Here is a 19294-nt window from a genome sequence, read left to right on the forward strand (position 1 = left end):
CATTGTGGTTGTATGCCCAGCCCCATGGATTCTTGCCCTATATAGGTACACATCTGTGTTCATCTGAGACTCAGGGTGACCCCATGCAGATTCATGAACCCCTTTTTCTTTTTTGTTTCTTTTTTTTTTTTTTTGAGATGGAGTCTAGCTCTGTTGCCAAGGCTGGAGTGTAATTGGCATGATCTCAGCTCACTGCAACCTCTGCCTCCTGGGTTCAAGTAATTCTCCTGCCTCAGCCTCCCGAGTAGCTGGGACTACAGGCACTCACCACCATGCCTGGCTAATTTTTGTAATTTTAGTAGAGATGGGGTTTCGCCATGTTGGCCAGGCTGGTCTTGAACTGCTGACCTCAAGTGATTCACCCACCTTGGCCTCCCAGAGTGCTGGGATTACAGGCAGAAGCCACCATGCCTGGCCTATGAGCCCCTTTTTCTGCCTCCTCAAACTCCAGTTGCAGTTTCCTCAGCTCGGCAAGACCACTGTTCTCTGCTGGATCCCCTCTCTGTCCCAGGGCTGGGAAATGCCTGCAGGCAAGAAGCCAGGTCGATTGTAGGGCTCATGCTCTCTGCCTAGCTGCTCTGAGGGATCATGTGCCTGCACTGCCTGTTATTTGCAAATAGTTTTTTCATATATTTTGTCTGGTTTCCAACTTGTTTGCAGCAGGAAGGCTAGTGTGATGCCAGTGCTCTGTCTTAACTGGAAGTGAAAGTCTGCTTATTTTAATCAGAATTATTGAATTATTGGACTGCTTTGACAGCATGTAGACAAAGCTCTAAGTTGCTTTTTAAATATGTTACCTGGTGGAGCATGATGACTCATACCTGTAATCCCAGCACTTTGGGAGGCTGAGCAGGGAGGATCACTTGGGAGGATCACTTGAGCCCAGGAGTTCAAGGTTAGAGTGAGCTATGATTGTACCACTGTACTCCAGTCTGGGTGGCAGAGTGAGACCCTGTCTATAAAAAAAAATACATAAAATTAAAATGTTACCTGATAAAAGAGATAGCCTAAGAAATTTAATTGAAATAAATATTGTACAGCCTGATTGCATTTTCAGACTTCTGACACAGTCCCGTGAAACTGTCTTAGGGAGATCCAGGGAAGCCTGTTTCTTAGAAAAAGGCTGCCATACTCTAAGAAGCAGCTCTATGATAATATTTGCAAAGCAATTAAACACAAACTTGTACTCCTGATTGTTACTGCAAAAGTAATACCTATCCATCATTGAAAATTTAGAATGTAATGGCAAGTCCCCCAAAAGAATCACCCATAGTCCCCATCAGTTAGCACTTGTCACTCTTTTTATTGTAGCACTAAACATGTATACTCTGTTGTCAATATATCCACACAAATAGTCTTGTATGAAAAAATTAGCTCATAATGTATGACTTCTATAAATGCTATGTTTGGGTCTCCCTAGCAGGGTGGATCTGATGGAAGAATTAGGGAGGTTGTTGATGATGCAAATTTACAAGCCAGTTATTTGCTGCACTGACCCGAAGTAGGCGGGTTGTTGCATGTGGATGGTGGCAGGATGGATGTGGGATGGACGAGTTCACTGAGAAGCCTCCGAGGGCTGTGGCTGCTGGGATGGCAGGGGAGTGTCCCTTGTTTCCCCTGGACATGCAGTGAGGCACAGGGAGAATCGATGCACGGGGAGAATCGATCCACGATAGGACCAGCCCCACCCCTCCTTCCCCCTAGGAGGTGGGATGGCAGACAGAGACACTTACAGACCATCTGTCCCAATAGTCCATAGAAGCCTTCTGGAGTCACAAATTTGCTGTAAGTTTATCTTCATTTAAAAAAATTATGTTGTAAACCAGAATTAAATAAAAGACACCAATTCAAGAAAGCTATATTGTGGAAATAATTTTTTTAAAGGCAAGTTATAAAAAGACAGGATAATTGTATTAAGAAACTTGAGACAAAGCCTTGTTGCTGTGAATAAGCTTAATTATTTAAATTTGACCTTCTTGGCAGTCAAGGCAAAAAAAAAGGAAAATAAAGAACATTTATAAAGCGCTTGCTATCTAACACAGTTCCGTGATTCTTTATTAGAAACCCTTGGGGGTGGATGCTTTTCTGATTCAGAACATTTGGATTTTAGACCAGTAATAAACTGCATATGTATGTTAAGTAACATGCTAACAGGATCGGGGTGGCAACTCATGACCAAGCACATTCATACATTTTTGCTGTGAAACATGCAAATATTCACACTAAGACTTTAACTATCCTTATATCTGACCAGGTCAGGTTTTGCCACCAAATGAGTTTGCCACAAACTTATGGAAAAAGTCTTGGTTTTCAGGAATATTTAGATTTTGGAACTGTGAGTTAGAGACTGCAGACCTGTAATAGAAGCTGTTAATTAATCTCTAGGGAGGGAGAAATGTTTTCCTACTTCACAAATCTAATACCATGTGGACTTTAAAGATATTGCACAACAAAAGGAGCAGGTTCACAGTGGATGTTTTACAAAAAAAATGCATTGTGTCAACAAACTCAACTGAACTCTATTGGACGGGCATCTGGCCTGCCACCAGGACGCCGGGAGGGGCAGGAGAGGGCAGGACGCAGCCCTGGATGCGGGATGACCTTTGCCTTTCAGGTACACATTGGCGGGTGGTGTTCTGCCTCAGGGGGCCAGAGCACAAAGGCAGCAGGGATTGAGTCCTGGGAGGAGGCCAGGGACTGAATCAGACGAGGCTCTGCAGGGCAGTGCCAGGTGTAGGGTGTTTGTTTGGCTGCAAGTGACAAAGACCCAGGCTCAAGCTGGAGGAGCAACAGGGACTGAGGATCTTGTAGCAGAAAGTGCAGAGGCAGGGTGGCAGTGGGCACCCTATGCCAGGCTCCAGGGTGTCTCCCTGAGTGTGGCCCTCCTCCGGGTGTGGCCTCACCCTTGGCTGGTAAAAGATGTGATATCCTGACAATGGCAAAAGTCCAGTGGAACATGCTAGACTATTTCTTCCTGTGGGTCTCTTTTATCAGAGAGGAAACCTTAGCCAGGAATTCCCAGCCGACTTTTGTTTATGTCTCATCAGCAGGACAGGGTCCTCAGCCCCTCTCAGCAAGTGGGGAGAGAGTCAAACAGCTGGTAGTGGCCAGCCAGGACGGTCCCCACATCACTGGCAGGGAGGAGGGGGCACATCAAGGTGAGCCTCAAATAGTGGGGAAACGGGGGTCACAGCCAATGGGCCGGCCACCCATTGAGCTCACCAGGGGTGGGGAGAAGGGTATGCGGGGATAAGACAGAGCTAGTGGGAAGTCAGCCTTAAAACCCTGGGGTGGGTTGCAAGGACATGGGTGATGACAACCAAGGGAAGTCCTAGGCCTTGAGCTCGTGGGGAAAGGGGCCAAAAGGGCCTGGGTGAGTCTGGTCAGAGCTGCTCCTTCAGCATGGAGAGGCTTGGGAAAGCAGTGGGTTTGGGACTAGCGGAAGTGAGGGGCTGAGCCCCAGCTCGGGCAGTGATACGGGGGCCAGATCAAGGCACCTTTCAGGGCTGCAGGGCTGAGCGCACCCCAAAGCCCACCTGCTCCACACCTGTGCAGGAAGGGCAAGCCATGTGTCTTCTGTACCTGTGTGCACCACTCCAGTCTCTGGAAGTGTGGGTTGCTTCTCCCACACCAAGCAATGCAGTTCTCTACAAATGCCAAACAGGTGTCCTACAGTGTAACTCAATTCTGACTCAATCTACTTTGATAGCATCAGACCCCACAGGTTAAGGGCTGGGCTCAGTCCCAGAGAGCTGCCCCGCCCCGTCACATGCTGATTGCAGGTCCAGGTTGTCACTTGTGTTTCTGACAAACAGGCTGTAAATCAGGGGTTCCCGGGACTCCCTCCCTGGGTTCAGTCATTTACTAGAATGGCTCACAGAACTCAGGGAAACACTTTACTTACGTTTACCGGTTTATTTTAAAGGATCTTGTAAAAGATACAGATAAACTGCCAGATGGAAGACATGCACAGGTGGTCAGCGTGGAAAGGGGTGGGAGCTTCCGGGCCTCTCTACGTGCCACCCTCCCAGCCCCTCTGTGTGTTCAGCATAGGGTTCTCCCAACCTGTCATTTCAGGTTTTTATGGAAGCTCCATTACATAGACTGATTGATTACATCACTGGCCATTGGTGATCAAGTTGACCTTCAGCTCTTCTCCCCTCTCTGAAGGCGGGTAGTGGAGCTGAAATCCCAACCCTCTGATTATTGGTTGGTTCCCCTGGCAACCAACCCCGCTCCTGATTCTACCCAGGAGTCCCTAGCCACCAGTCCCTCCCATGAGCACACAAAAAGACACTTATGGCTTTGGAGATTCAAGAGTTTTAGAAGCCATGTGGCAGGAAAGAGGGTGGGGAGACCACAAAGGCCAAATGCATATTCCTCATTATAGCGCAATGTCACAATGTCCTGGTGTAGGAAAGTGATGGGTTCAGCTACCGCACTGCTGATGGGATACCTTCTATCCGTTTACCTTGACAGCTAAGTCTTCACAATGACCGCAAGGCCAGCCTCAAGTGTAGGATCCTGGAATCCGTTCTGCACAGAAGTGTGGCCTAGGCCCCGCCGGTTCCCCTCGTCTCCCACTCCTTGCCCATCCCACAGTCCCGCTAGCCCAGCCCAGCCGAGCCCAGCCCAGCCCACATGGGGATTATCACTGGAAACAGCTGCCCCTTCTGGCGCAAGGCCCACAGCTGTGCACCCCTATCAGGAAGAGACCCGGGGAGACCCATGAGGCCCAGGTGGAGGTGTCTGGGGGGAATTCTAGGCCCCAGGGCCAGCTGCATGGTCTAGAAGGGGCACAGGTCTGGGTGGGCAGATCTCCTGGGCCCACAGACTCCTTGTCTGTGGGGAGGGCACCACTGGAGGAGGGCCCGGAATAGGAGCTCTGATGGTGGCACTGGCCTCCATGCAGGGGGTGACAGGGGAATGCAGGGAAGGAGGGGGGGGAGGACTCTAAAGGAATACCGCATCACCTGGCCTGGGCCAGGAGGAGCGTGGTGCCCCCTTCACCAAGATGGGGCCTCCCAGGGAAATGGCTGGGCATGCATTCTTTTCTTTTTTTTTTTTTTTTTGAGACAAAGTCTCACTCTGTCACCCAGGCTGGAGTACAGTGGCGTGATCTCAGCTCACTGCAACTTCCGCCCTCTGAGTTCAAGCGATTCTCCTGCCTCAACCTCCCGAGTAGCTGGGATTACAGGTGCCTGCCACTGCTCCCAGCTATTTTTTTTTTTTTTTGTATTTTTAGTAAAGACAGGGTTTCACCATCTTGGCCAGGCTGGTCTTGAACTCCTGACCTCATGATCCACCCGCCTCGGCCTCCCAAAGTGCTGGGATTACAGGCGTGAGCCACCGCACCCAGCCGCATTCTTTTCATGTTAGTGTGGAGTCTTGGTATTTTTGAATGGCATAATATTCCACCGTGCAGATGGTGCCTCATCACACCCGGGCATCCCCGTCACCCCAGGGTGCAGGCTGTGCTGTTGGGAGGTTTGGAAAGGAGAGGAACCCAAGGGTAGGCTCCAAACAACACTCGGGCCAGGGAGGGCTCTCTCTTCTCCATTTGGGGTGTTTCTTGTTGATTTGTTTCCTTGTTTGTGGGAGCCTTGAGCAGGACTGGGGGCTTGCAGGAAGGCATGGGCGGCATGGGCAGAGCAGTCTTGCTCGTTTTGTTTGTGTGAAAGCTGCGCTCCTGGAGGCAGACCCCCAGGTGGCTGGAGGCCCTGAGGTCTGGAGCTCCCTTTTCTCCTTGCAGCCGAGTTGGCCCGGGCTGAGGCTCTAAGTCAGAGCCGTCCATGCATCAACTGCAAGAGAAAGGGAGAGTGTGGGGGCCCTGGGCTGGAGCAGAGACAGAAGGACCAAGCTCTGGGAGAAGTTGTGGCCTGGGTGCTGGCCGCCCCTGGAAGGAGTGCAGCTGGGGGCCCCTGGATGATAGCCCTCCTCCAGGGCACTATGATTACAACTCGGTGTTTGTTCATGCCCCCACCCAGGCCCCAGAGCCTGCCTGGCCTGGCTCCTGCTATGTGGGGTCAGATGCGAGGATGCTGAGCCCTGACCAGGAAGAAGGCAGTGGGGCACACCCACCCAGCCCACCACCCACCCTCTGCTGTCACGTGTCTGCCAGCCAAGAGGAGGCCCACAATGCGGCTTTGTGTGGCAGCTGGCTCTGAGCACACGCAGAGTGTCTGGGGCAGTCCTGGCCAGCAGTGCCAGCCCTGGAAGCCAGAGATGCCAGGTCGCGGAGGGAGGATCCACCCCGCCCAACCCCTCCAGGGCCTGGGGCCAGGCGCTCTCCAGGAAACACCTGGGCTGGCCAGGCTTCTTCAGGGGTCACCCAGGACCCCTGGAGGCTGTGTCTGGGGAACAGGAAACTTTCAGCGGAGGCCTGGCTGTCAGTCCCCAACTAGTAGGGCCTGTGGGGTACCCTGGGACCGCCAGGCCACCGGTTGGACCAACTCAGCCTGCCTTGGGATTCCTAACAGAGCTCCCTGGTCCTGGGTGAAATGAGAAAAAAGAGGACAGCTTTGCCCATGTCTGTAATGCTGAATGTTTCTATTATTTTTAATATGAGTTTTTTGAAATGTTAAAACATCCTTTTTAAATGAAATTATTATAGTGCCTAGAGATTGTTTTTATGACAACATCCTTAATCGGCAAAATTAAAAGTCTCCAACTCTATTTTCAGCCTGTATAAAAATGTGGCTCCTGAAGCCCCCAAACATCGACCCCTCGGTGCTGGCTGGGCTGGCTGGGCGCCTCGTGCAGGCGCAGCTGGGCAGCCGTGGGGAACAGTTGGTGGGCAGCAGCCGGGAAGTCACGTCTGGAGGGCCCTGTGTGGGATGCCTCAGAGTTTCCCAGAGCTGGGTGGGGGTGGGGGCTCTCCTGAGCTGGGACCTTCTCCCATCTGGACCAGGGATGGCATTGACTCTCCCTTCCCTGCCCCTCCCCACCCCCACTGCCTTTGTTCACCTTGAGAACGCACACTTGTGCAGCCCTGCACAGCTCCCCTGCAGCCTGTGTGGGGCAAGGGCAGGGCCCTGGTGTCCAGCCCGGCTCTCAGGAACACCCTTGGCGATGCTGGGCAGGAAGCCCCTCCTCAGCTCCTCCCTTGGCAGATAAGGGTGGTGTCAATGGGCTCTCTACAGAGTCCGTCCTCTTTGGGTTGCCCTAGCATTGCTACAAACAGAGCATTCAGTAGGAAGGAACAGACCTTTTGCCCGAGTGACTTGGCCTGGATCTGAGAAAAACAGCCATCCTTCAGCCAGCAGGGACCATCCCCTGCTTCGTGGGGATGGCTGCTGTGTGTGGGCAGGCAGGGACAGCCCATCTGCCACGGCTGCCCAGTGGCGAGGTCCCTTGGGGACCCTGCCGAGAAGTGAGTGCAGGGCCTTACTGTGACCAGCTCACCAAGAGATGTTATCGGGCCTGAAGCAGGTCCCGAGGGGATTAGGCCATCTGGAGTGAGGGGCTGGCAGGGAAATTGCTTCTCGTTCACAGAAATGTTTAAGAAACAAATCCAGGAAAGGCCTGTTTTGGTTATTTTTTTTTTTGAATGACACAGTAACGTGTCAAACTTAATTTAAGAAACACCCTCAGATATTTTTATTTTTTTTTTGCATTGGATTTGCATTGAGATTTTTTAAAAATGCAAAAGGGCCTTTCTACTGGGCCTGAATCTTGCAAGATTTCTAACCCATTTCAGTCCTGTAAATAATTAGGTGCAATTGGTTGCTGAGACTGATTTTCCCAGACCCGTGGAGAAAGGCCCCAGCCGTGAGGGGCTCTGGGAACTTAGGGGACAGCACCTTATGGACACCCCTACTCAGGAAGGGATCATTGAAGAGATGCTTCTGGGCCTGGAACATTCTCCGCCATCTGGACCTTTCTGTATGCATAGAGGGGACCAGTGGGAACTGTGGGACAGAGGGAGGTCTGCACACCCTCCCTGGACACCATGAGGCCCATCTTGGGTCCCCTGAGTCCAGACCAGCCCCCAAGAAGCTCACAGTCTGGTAGGAAGCCGAGGAGGCAAACGAACAGGAACAGCCCTAAATAACTGCACAGTGCCCAGGCTGCCAGGAGAGTGTGTGGGCAGAGAAGGCTCCCAGAGCAGAAAAAGGATGCTCAAGGATGTATTCCAGGCCAGGGAGCAGCGTGTGCGGGGGCCGTGCGGAATGGCGCATTCTGCAAAATGCAATGTGGCGTCTGGCTGGGGGGCCACTCCGCACTCCCTGGCCTGGCTATGAGTCCAAGCCACCCAGGGGTGAGCTTCTGTAGAGCAGGAGTCCCTGGCTCTTCCCTGAGAGGGGACGTCATGGCCCCAGGTGTGGCTGGCAGAGGACCTGCAGGCTAGGGAAGAGGGCATGAGGTCGGCAGGTTAGAAGTGGCTGGGGAAGCACACGCAGGTCGCCTCTCTGTGGCAGTTGTCTCTTCTGTGAAGTTGAGACCGGTGGGGGAGATAAAGTACTAAGCACTGCAAATACAGAGATCCTTGGAGAAATCGAGTCACTGGAGTCTCCTCTAGGAATGGGGGGCTGCTGGGGTAGGGCCAGTTCCAGGCACGGAGGGGGCTGAGGGACACAGCAGGACAGGCTCCAGACCATCCCCAAGTGGCCTGAAGGTGACCTCGACCCCCTCAGCTGCCTTGTGTGTGTCCCTCCGGCCCTGGCCCAGAAAGGAGATGGTGCATGCCTGTTTCTAGACCTCTAGACCCCTCGTGGGGTCCCTGGGCTCTCTCTGCCAGGGACAAGCAGGGGCACCTTGCTCCCTTTACAACTCCCACTGTCCAGCGAGAGTTGGAGCTCGCTGAGTGCCACATGCCGTTAGGACCTAGGTGGGAGATGGGGGTGCCGAAGAGGGGATGGGGACTGTGGAGAAGTAGATGAAATTTCCCTAGGCTGGCTGGATGTGCCGCAAGTGTCTGAGCAGGGGCTAAGCCCACCCCCTTGAATCTCAGACGGAGCCACTGGGGCCCGGTGAGGCCCAACAATTGTCCCCAGAGCCTCAGAGTGCCTACAGGGCACAGTGGGAGGCAGCACTGAGCTGAAAGGAGCGTAATCTCTAAGCAGGTTTAACCTAAAATAGAGCCTGATAGCTCAATGACAGATGCTTAATTTGTCACAATATTTCTGTCATTATGCTGGGACAGATATTCTTGGTTTGTTCAAGAACAAGGTCTTTTTTTTTTTTTTTTTTTTTGAGTCATTATACAGCATAAAAGAGACCACACCCCAAACAAGATTGGGACAGCGCTGGGCCCCTGAGCCAAGCCAAGAGGAATCACCCCGCCCACACAACCACCCCGCCCACACAGCCTTCCCTTCCCGGAGCCACGAGCCACAACCAGGCCTACCTGGCTGGAAGAGGGGCTTCAGGGGCTGACTCCACCTGGGAGTGGGTGAGGGGAGGTGACCTCAAGCTCCTTTAAAGCCTTGCCTCTCAACTCCTCACTCCCAAATCCCTCCAAAGGAGATAAAATGACTCCTATAAAGATTAGAGATCATGCACCAGCATGAATGCATGTGAAAAGTGACAGGAACACAAATTCATGCGATGGGGGTCTCAGACTTTTGTCTACCACCAACTGAGAGTGATAAGGCCCAAGAGGGCCCCCTGCAGAGCTGCCTGCAAGAGATGTTGCTCTGCCTTCAAACGTCATGGGATGATGTGTGCTATTCAGCATACTCCTGTGTTTGTTTTCACTAGTTTGTAAAAGGCGTTTTCAAGCACTCACCATTGCCTGTGGAGTGTGGCTCACCCTCCCTGCCCACCCCAGAACACAGTTTGAGAACTAAGCTATTGAAGATGGACCCTTCCCCAAGCCCCAAGCCTAGCGCCTCTCCGTTTCTAGCCCAGCTAAGGGATGGGACCATAGCCCTGTAGCACTAGTGTGAGTGGGAGCCGGAGCCAGCCTGGCCTGCACCCCCACCCCCCAGCCAGGCACAGCCTGGAGTGGGAGGGCACCGCCTGAGAACCTGCAGGAGGAAGACCACTGGGGACGTCGCCAGAAATTGGCAGCCATGGAGACAGTGGCCCTTCCCCTCGGTGAGGCCCTGAATAGCCTTGCTAGTTCCTGCCCCCTGTATAGCCCACAAGGCCAGTCTCACCAGGGAAAATGGGACACTGCATCCCAGGCCCATGGGGACAGAGGGGTGCTGCCCGCTGGGCCTGGCTGGGCTGGCTGGGGTGGCTGCACCCAGGGGTCAGAGTTCATCTTCGGCCTTTCTCTGCAGGGTCAGGCCTGGGAGGTGCTGGCCACCACAGTCATAGTCCAACCAGCTCAGCCAGCAATGTCCAGAGTGACGCTGGCTTCATGCCACGGGACAAGGCCAGTGGTCAGGGTGGTGCCTTCCTGGGAAATGGCTCTTTTTTGGAGAGACAGCCATGATAGAATGACTTTGCAAGCTGGAAGGGCTGGGATGGGGCTGGGGTTGGGGTGGAGGTGGGGGCGAGGGTACTTAGAAAGCAATGAACAGCATCTGGTGGGGACTCACACCTGTGTTCACGCAGTGGGCACCTGTGGGCAGCTTGGCCAAATAGCCCCGAGAGACCAAGCAACTTTCCTGCCCAATGAAATGCAATCTGCTTTCTTCCTTTTCTCTAGTCATTATTTATTCATTTGAAAGATGCTTTTATGATAGAAATTCAGGGCTGCACACAGGCGTCTCTAATGAGGGCATTCGGGAGCAGAGAAGGGGACCAGGCATCCCCGCTGGGCGTGCTGGGAGAGGCTAACAGCCTTCACGCTTTGGAGAGCCCTCAGCCTGCTTCAAAGCTCCTAGCCTTTCTCAATTTCTCCTCCAAGGCATCACAGGGCAGCGGTGTGCGGATCAGATCCTACTTTTACAGGTTAGGTGGCTGAGGCCTCCATTCCCCGGGTTACAGAGACACCTGCCCGGAGGGAGCCCTGCTGGTGGCCTGCATCCTCTCCCTGGGTTCTGGCGCAGCTCACAGTCTGAAAATTACAACTCCCTGTTGTTGCTATGGTGACTGGTTGTGTTATTCTAGCCTACAGAGCTGTGTGCTCCACCTTGCCCAAGATGGTCTGTTTTTGCAGGAGAAAGTCTCTATCTCCAAGTCTCTCTCTGTGTGTGTGTGTGTGTGTGTGTGTGTGTGTGTGTGTGTGTGTGAGAGAGAGAGAGAGAGAGAGAGAGAAGAAAGGAGAGAGAGAGAAATGGGCACACTGCCCTTCCTGCTGCCCCAACCTTTTCCCTGGGCCCAGTGGACCTTCTGTCCCTGCCCAGCAGGCTGCCTGGGTCCCCAAGATACTGGCCCCATTCCTTTCATAGGACACCGACTCTGGGCCACAGGCACTGGCTGTGCAGGGGTCCTTCCTTTGTGTCTCCTTGTGAGGTCAGATCCCTGTGTCAGTGCACAAAGGGCACCCCGTTCTTGTTTCATTTGCAGACTACTCTGTGACATGGATGGACAGACCATCATCTATTTAACCAGGCTCTCTAGATGGACAGTTGGGCTGTTTCCAATCTCTGGTCATCACAAATCTGTGAAAAATAACCTTGAACATATGTCATTTTGCACATGTGGGAATATGTGTAGAATAAACTCCTAGAAGTAGCATTATTGGGAAATTAGTATCTGCATTTCTAAGTTTGGAAATTTTTGCAAATTGCTGTCCGTTGATATCATCCATTGTGAGCCTAGTACATGCTGAACACTGAACTCAACATTTTATCTGGATTATTTTATTTCGTCTCACCGTGGCCCTAAAATGGAGCTTATTCCGATGCTGGTTTTACAGATAAGCACACAGATGCTCAGAAAAACTCAGCAACATGCCAAATAGCCATCTGGGCTGGTGGGGTGGGGTCGGGATGGACCCTGAGTCTCCAGGCCCCTGTCAGGCCCTTTCCTAAGGGCACACAGGCCCAGCCCTGGGGCACCTGCCCCGCCCAGAGGGCCTGGACCCTTGACCTGTTCTCCAAGCCCCATTCAAGCATGCAAGCCTTGTGCACCAGGAGCCCGCAGACTGGCCCTCCTCACACCAGCCAGGCTCTCCTGGAACCAGTCACCGGCCACCCCATTGGGGCCTTGGGATGCACAGTCCTTCTGCCCCTGAGGCTCTCCCCCATGAGATGCTGTCCTCAGCCGGGCTGGCTGGTCCGAACTTGGGAGCTTGGCTTGCTCGGAGGGGTCTCCTCGCTCAGCCCTCTCCCAGCTCCCCAGTCTCCTTCTTCCAGGCCAGCTGCACACTTTGGGGTGATGTCCTCCAGCCTCTGCATCTTTCCTGGTCAGACTGTGAGTTCTGAGCCTCCGGGCCTGCGTCCCAGGCCCAGCATGATGCTCACCAAGCCGGGTGCAGGAGAGGACAATGGGAGAGGCAGGGCAGGCCCAGGGAAGCTAGGAGCCACCGCCTTTCCCGGGAGGGCCCTGGCTTCCTCTGAATCACAAAGTGGTTAGCATGCAGGGGAGTGCGCCGGTCCCCCGCCTGTATTTGCATGACAAAAGCGCCTGCCCAACGGCTCTCGGTGGCTTTGTTGAGAGCTGCAGCCTCGCTCAGGCTGAGCCTTGGGAATTGTTCCCCGACATTGGTTGTTCCTGGGCTCCACAGCTACCCCGGCCGACAAAAGCCACATTGTGGGGCTGACGGCAGCTGCCAGCACCTGCTCCCTGCACCGCGGCTGCCTCGAGGCTCTGCGCCGCGCCTGATGCCTTTGCTAGGACACAGCCAGGGGCAGACCCCGAGGCCCTGGGCATCATCCAGAACACATTGTGAGGGGTGGGGTGGGTGGTGGGGGAAACTTGCCTGGTTCCCAAAGGGCCTGGGGGGATGGCCTGGGGCTGGCCATGGCGAGGTGAGGACTCCAAGGTCACCAGTGTAGGCTGGAAGAGGGAAGAAAACCACAAACCCCAAGCGTGCGGCGCCCACGCTGCAGCATTGCATTATTTGATGCTTCGCTCACAACAGGTGTTTTTCTTACTCTTCAAATGGGGAAACAGGCTCAGAGAGGTTCACTAGCCAGCCCAGTATCACACAGCAGAGCCGAGGTTTGAAGGTCCCGGCCCCTCGGGGCATGCTTCTCACAGCGGTCCCAGAGTTTCCCCTGGCCCTTTCCCCTTTCCCTTCTGAGCTTCTCAGTCCTTTCTCTCTCTCCTCAATGGCCTTGCCACAGCATCCAGCTGCCTTGGCGGCAAGCACAGTGCCCTCCGCCCTCGCTGCGTCCCTGGGGTGCCTGCCGTCAGTGGCCTCCCCTTCCTTGTGGAGCACTTCCCCCTTCCTCACTGGTCCTGGGGCTGTGTCCATTACATACCACTCCCTTGTGTCTTTTATGGATCCACAAACTCCTGTTAGCCCACCGAGCCCTGTGCACCCCTCCTCTTCCCCAGAAGCTCCTCCTGAGCCCTGCTGCCTTCTCTCCATGCATGGTCCTGTGTCCCGGCTGTGAGCACCTGCATTTTGGCACCTGGTACCTAGCCCAGAAGCTCCACCTCAGTGCCTGCATTCAGCCAGCGCTCATGAAACTAAATTAACTTCACGACTGTATTCCAAATGCAAATGTTGTCGCTACTCTGACTTACAGGAGAAAGTCTTAACTAGTGCTTGCCTCTGGCTCACCTGAAGGGGCTAGGGCCGTGCCAGTCACAGATGCGAAGGCCTCCGCACACCCGCAGGCAGCGGCCTTTCCTGAGGCCTTGACAGAGACAGGAACTGTGTAGGAAAAGCTGTGTTGAAGGCCATCCCCTCCAGAGATCAGAGCAGGGAAGGGGGCCATTACCACTGAGTCACCCTGGGGTGGGAAGGCTGTGCAGCAAACCTGCAAACAGCATGAGGAGAGGAGCCCTGAAAGCCACCGCCTGCTCCTGAGGGACACAGCCCACCTGCAGAGACTCTGGGGGAGGCTCCCTCCTTCTTTCTCCCGGGGATCTCCTGCTGGGACTCCCTGAAGTCCAAAACCAACCAGAGGGAGGTCAAAGGAGTCCATGATGCACCCAGTGGACTGGGGTAGAGGTGTGTCCTCTGAGGAGCCAGGAGCACAGCCCCCAGGGGAAAGGTTGGCCCAGCTGGAGGTGACACTATGACTAGGAAACAGGGCTGTGGGAAGGATCAACATGCAGCAGGTGCAGAAGCCAGAGCTCAGGAGGAGAAAGGCCCAGCAGCCTCAACAAGAAAGGGAGGTGTGGGGAAGACCCCAAGGAGAGGCTGCAGGTGGGCCGGGCCAGCAGGAGAGCTGTGGGCGGGACCTCAGTGTCACAGCCCAGGAGGAGCTGAGCCCTTGCCTGGGCCCCACCCTCCCCTGCCTGCACCCCTGCTGCACAACCATTCAGCTTGTGGGGGAAGACAGAGCCAGCTGCAGGCTGTGGGGAGAAGGACCGGTGCTTGCCCTCCTTTTAGGTCCCAGGGACTCCCCCATCGCACCTGCGAGGAAGCTTTTGGGGGTCAGAGCTGCCTTGATCAAGCTTACAGTGAGCTTGAAAACCCTCGGACACACAGGCTAACAATTCTCACCAGGAAAACCCTGGGACATCTCAGAGAGGCAGAAGGGAGTTGTGGAATTAGAAACATTTCATCCTCTGCTCCCCCACTACTGGGAAAGCAAAAACCCACACCTCAGAGCATGCTCATTTGCTACGTATCCAATTAAACCTTAAAGGGCACTTGGAATTTGAATGAGTTCCCCAAATTGTCCCAAGTTATGCAACTGAGTCAGAATTCAGGGTCTGTAATAAGACCCCGGGGGTGGCCCACACTGGATGGGCTGATCCAATGGATGTGCCCAGCCACTCTCCGGTGCCACCTCCCCTACAAGAGCTGCCAGGTCAGAAACTTGCTTCCCCCATCTCCCCCAGTGCTGGCGGGGACAAGCACCCTGTGGCCAGTAAAGTGAAGCAGAAGTCTTCTGGAAAAGCAGCTTCTTCTTACGGAGGGCACAGGTTGCTGGCTTCTACCAGCCTCCCCGGGCTTCTGACTCCAGCTGCAGACCTGGAGCAGTGACAAGTGTCTCTAGAGCAGAAAGCCAACACTTTAAGGATGGTAGAGGAGCCGGGTCCCTGTGGGCACCCCTGAGCCACTTCCCTGGCCCTGGGAAGGCCCACCTGCCAACCTCTTATGATGGGAGACCCCTGTTTGTTTAACTGGCTGTCAACTGATCTAACAGATCAACAGGCTCCAACATAGGTCCCGGGCGTGGCTTTGTGTGGCCCACTGTGTCTCTTGCAGCAGGTTTCCCTCCTGTGCAGGGGGCCTAATTCCTGCATCATGGAGTGTCTTATCAGCTCAGGAGGCTATTACAAAATAGCACAGACTGGGTGGCTTATTTCTCACTGTTCTGGGGCTGGGAAGTCCAAGATCCAGGCGCCAGCAGCGGGCTTTCTCCCTGGCATGGAGATGGCCGTCTTCCTCCTGTTACCGCACATGGTGGAGATGTTCTCTCTCTCTCTTCTCTCTCCTCCCTCTCTTCTTAAAAAGTCACGAATCCAGCTGGGCACGGTGACTCATGCCTGTAATCCCAGCACTTTGGGAGGCTGAGGCAGGTGGATCACCTGAGGTCAGGAGTTCGAGACCAGCCTGGCCAACATGGCGAAACCCCAACTCTACTAAAATCACAAAAATTAGCCGGGTCTGGTGGTGGGCGTCTGCAATTCCAGCTACTCGGGAGGCTGAGGCAGGAGAATTGCTTGAACACAGGAAGTAGAGGTTTCATTGAGCTATGATTGTGCCACTGCACTCCAGCCTGGGTGATAGAGCAAGACTCCATCTCAAAAAAAAAAAAGGTCACTAATGCTATCCTGAAGACTCCGCACTCATGACCTAATCACCTCCCAAAGGCCACCGTCACACTGGGGGTTGGGGCCTCAACACATAAATTTGGGGATGTGGGGACCAAATTCAATCTGTGGGGATGAGACAGGAGCCTGAGAAGCCTGAGTGCTTGGTGTCATGATGGGTGGACAAATGTAGACGATTTCCTAGTAATCACCAATTTCTTCCAGACATAACCCCCTGCCTTCTGGAGAGCACACTGGGGGAAGACGAGGGGTACTCTTTTTTTGTCTTATCTCTAAGAAAGGATGGGAGGGTGACTGGGTGGGGGCAGGGCTACAGATGGCTGTGAGCCTGAGAACAGCCCCATGGCCTAGGGTCGCTGAGAGTGGGGCTGGAGGTCTGTGGTCCTGGAAGCAAACTTCTTAAAGGGCAGGAAAACCAACGGTGCCTTTGTCAGAGCTTAGCTGTATCTTTACAGACAACGGTGGCAGTGAGAGGATGAAATGTTCTGGTCCCTGCAGCTCCCTTCTCCACCCTCACCGGCACTCTCCCAACACACCCCGAAGAGGTGGGTAGGCTCCAGAAAAGCCCTAACATGGGGTATGACCAGGGTGAGAGTGCAGCATTCTGAAGACAGAGATCTCAGTTTGGTTGATAAAGAAGCAATATTTAAGCCAGGCTCAGTGGCTCACGCCTATAATCCCAACACTCTGGGAGGCCAAGGCAGGCAGATCACTGGAGGTCAGGAGTTTGAGAGCAGCCTGGTCAACATGGTGAAACCCCGTCTCTACTAAAAGTACAAAAATCAGCCAGGCGTGGTGGCAGGCGCCTGTAATCCCAGCTCCTCAGAAGACTGAGGTGGGAGAATTGCTTGAACCTGGGAGGCGGAGGTTGCAGTGAGCCAAGATCACGCCACTGCACTCCAGCCTGGGTGACAGAGTAAGACTCCATCTCAAAAAAAAAAAAAAAAAAAAAAAGGAGCTATTTGGATAGAAAAGAGATTAAGAGTCCATTGCAAAAATGTAAATATGGTCTGCATATTATACAATATTCATAGATTAACAATAAAGTTCTTCAGTCCAATACAGGCTCTGCGGCTATCCAAGAGCAAGTCCTCCTTTTTTGCAAATGTGTAGGGCAAAGTGTTGTGATGTCAGCAGCTGACTTTCAAATCATTTCAAAAAATATAGAGATATAGACAGAGAGATGGAAAGAGAAATACAGTGAACATGGCAATCACTGAAGAGCCGGCGAATCAGAGTAAAGCGTGTTCTTTGCACTACTCTTTTGGCTTCTGGTTGATTTATTATTATTATTATTATTTTGAGACAAAGTCTCCCACTGCTGCCCAGGTTGGAGTGCAGTGGTGTGATCTTGGCTCACTGCAACCCCCACCTCCCAGGTTTAAGCGATTCTCCTGCCTCAGCCTCCTAAGTAGCTGGGATTACAGGCGTGTGCCACCACTCCCGGCTAATTTTGGTATTTTTAGTAGAGACCGGGTTTCACCATGTTGGCCAGGCTGGTCTTGAACTCCTGGCCTCGTGATCCACCTGCCTCGGCCTCCCAAAGTGCTGGGATTACAGGCGTGAGCCACTGCGACCAGCTGAAAATTTTTGAAACAGAATGTTGAGGAGAAAAACAGGAGCTGCTAGGCTCTCTGCTGTATCCCCTGACTTTGAAGGCATGTGTCCTGGACAGTCCTGGCATTCTGGGCACTGCCCTCTCACCCTGCTGCAGCCCCGGGTGGTCGTCTCCTGTGGATCAAGTGCCTTGCAGAGCCCTCTTCAGCACCGAGGAGATATTTATGTGGCAGCCCCATGAGAGGCAGGACGATGCTCCCCACTTTAGGATGAGGGCGCCAGGCATTTGGGGCAGTCCAGCCAGGACTCCAGCCCAGCCTCTGCCCTGCACAGCGCACCTTGGGCAGCCCCTGGGGGCCCCAGAAGCTTCTTGGCTGCAGCTGCGTGCTTCTCACCGTGCTCCCCTGACAGACTGGATCTGAGATCTTCCCCGGGGCAGCCCACTCTGCTGACCAGGGTTGCAAGGTGGCCTGCTGGGAGAACCAATGGCAGAGCCACCAGCTGCCCACCAGATCTCCCCCAATGGGTCTGTCCCTGCAGATTCAGAGAGTCAGCAGAGGGTGCTGAAGCTGAGCCATGAGGCTGCTAGGAGAGGAAGCCCTGGGATGCTAAGAGCCAAAGGGGCAAAGCCAGCAGAGAGGGGCAGCTGCAGCATCTGCAAGAGAAAGGATGAGAGCCAGGAGAGGGGGCTGCCCACAGCAGTCACTGCCAGGTGGTCCTCCTGTCTGAGCATCCAGTTGTCCTTCCCCAAGCCTTGTTTCTGCAGGTCCCTCCAGCAGAGCTCCCAAGGCCCCCTGGTGAGCTCTGCTCACTGCATCCTCGCAAGGGGCTGCGTTGGGTCCAGACTTGGCACTGGAGAGGGCCGTATGTGCGAGGGGCAGCCCTGCTGCGGGAAGAGAGGACCTCCTTATTCTCTCTTATTATGTAGCCGGAGGACGCAGCAGGGTGGGTGCAGAAGCTCCTCTGCCCGTGGGGGGCTCCTGGGCCACCGGCAAGGCTCTGGGTCCCGGGCAGTGGGTGGAGGGAGAGCAGAAGGCAGCAAGGGTTCCTCTCTCCCAGTTCGGGGTCTCTTGGAAATCACAGATATCGTGCTGGGCCCTTAGATCCCACGGACCCAAGTGTGGTCTCCTGGCACGCCCAGCTGCCAGGGAGGTTGGCGAGTCAGGGATTTGTATTTTTTTCCCCCTTATCTCTGCTCAGAGGCCCTTGGGAAGATATACCCACGGTGAAGGAAGAGGGCCTAGAAATACCATGATGGAGTCTATATAAGCCAGTTGTGAAAAAAGAACTATGGTGAGCTTATCTTTTAGGATCTGTGGGTTTTTTGCTTTTTTTTTTTTTTTTTTTTTTTTTGAGACGGAGTTTGGCTCTTGTTGCCCAGGCTGGAGTGCAATGGTGTGATAGCTCACTGCAACCTCCGCCTCCCAGGTTCAAGCAATTCTCCTGCCTCAGCCTCCTAAGTAGCTGAGATTACAGGTGCCCACCACCACGCCCAGCTAATTTTTTGTATTTTAAGTAGAGACGGGGTTTCACCATATTGGCCAGGCTGGTCTCGAACTCCTGACCTCAGGTGATCCACCCACCTCAGCCTCCCAAAGCGCTGAGATTACAGGAGTGAGCCACCGTGCTCGGCCAGGATCTGTGTTTATCTGGTAGTAACCTTGGCTTAAATATCAAGAAATATCAAGAAATGTCAGTCCTCCACCCCCCTCAATAAAAGAAGTTCAGTGTTAGGCAGTCCAAGTAAGTTATGGGAGGCTCCATGATGTCACCAGGGACCCAGGCTTCATTCCACTTTCCCTTTGATTTTTAGCATATGATTTCCAGTCTCAGAGTTGCCTCATATTCACAAAATGGCTGCTGGAGTACCAGCTATCACATTTGCATTCCAAACAGCCAGTAACAGGAAGAGGCAAAGGGTACATTTTAGCTACTTGTTCCCATTCTTAAAAAGCTTTTGGCAAGCCTTACCTAACAACTTCTGTTTATATCTCAG

General features: G+C 53.7%; 6 annotated features.

Moving 5' to 3' along the window:
* Positions 4537-4852: an enhancer, noted in NCBI's record as "KLF13-II DHS fragment used in reporter constructs". NCBI's record gives its function as "activates the minP minimal promoter by reporter assays in K562 erythroleukemia cells {active_cell/tissue: K562}" and the evidence as "EXISTENCE:reporter gene assay evidence [ECO:0000049][PMID:23985037]".
* Positions 8015-8697: an enhancer, noted in NCBI's record as "H3K4me1 hESC enhancer chr15:31594474-31595156 (GRCh37/hg19 assembly coordinates)". NCBI's record gives its function as "activates a minimal SCP1, AML or CMV promoter by ChIP-STARR-seq in naive H9 embryonic stem cells {active_cell/tissue: H9 hESC(naive)}" and the evidence as "EXISTENCE:reporter gene assay evidence [ECO:0000049][PMID:30033119]".
* Positions 8934-9236: an enhancer, noted in NCBI's record as "KLF13-III DHS fragment used in reporter constructs". NCBI's record gives its function as "activates the KLF13 promoter by reporter assays in K562 erythroleukemia cells {active_cell/tissue: K562}" and the evidence as "EXISTENCE:reporter gene assay evidence [ECO:0000049][PMID:23985037]".
* Positions 9331-13749: an enhancer, noted in NCBI's record as "VISTA enhancer hs2231". NCBI's record gives its function as "enhancer in: neural tube[10/11] | hindbrain (rhombencephalon)[10/11] | midbrain (mesencephalon)[10/11] | forebrain[10/11]" and the evidence as "EXISTENCE:transgenic organism evidence [ECO:0001131][PMID:17130149]".
* Positions 12517-13102: an enhancer, noted in NCBI's record as "OCT4-NANOG-H3K27ac-H3K4me1 hESC enhancer chr15:31598976-31599561 (GRCh37/hg19 assembly coordinates)". NCBI's record gives its function as "activates a minimal SCP1, AML or CMV promoter by ChIP-STARR-seq in primed H9 embryonic stem cells {active_cell/tissue: H9 hESC(primed)}" and the evidence as "EXISTENCE:reporter gene assay evidence [ECO:0000049][PMID:30033119]".
* Positions 17944-18704: an enhancer, noted in NCBI's record as "H3K4me1 hESC enhancer chr15:31604403-31605163 (GRCh37/hg19 assembly coordinates)". NCBI's record gives its function as "activates a minimal SCP1, AML or CMV promoter by ChIP-STARR-seq in primed H9 embryonic stem cells {active_cell/tissue: H9 hESC(primed)}" and the evidence as "EXISTENCE:reporter gene assay evidence [ECO:0000049][PMID:30033119]".

This window comes from Homo sapiens, chromosome 15 (assembly GCF_000001405.40).
Source record: "Homo sapiens chromosome 15, GRCh38.p14 Primary Assembly".
NCBI classification, from domain to species: domain Eukaryota; kingdom Metazoa; phylum Chordata; class Mammalia; order Primates; family Hominidae; genus Homo; species Homo sapiens.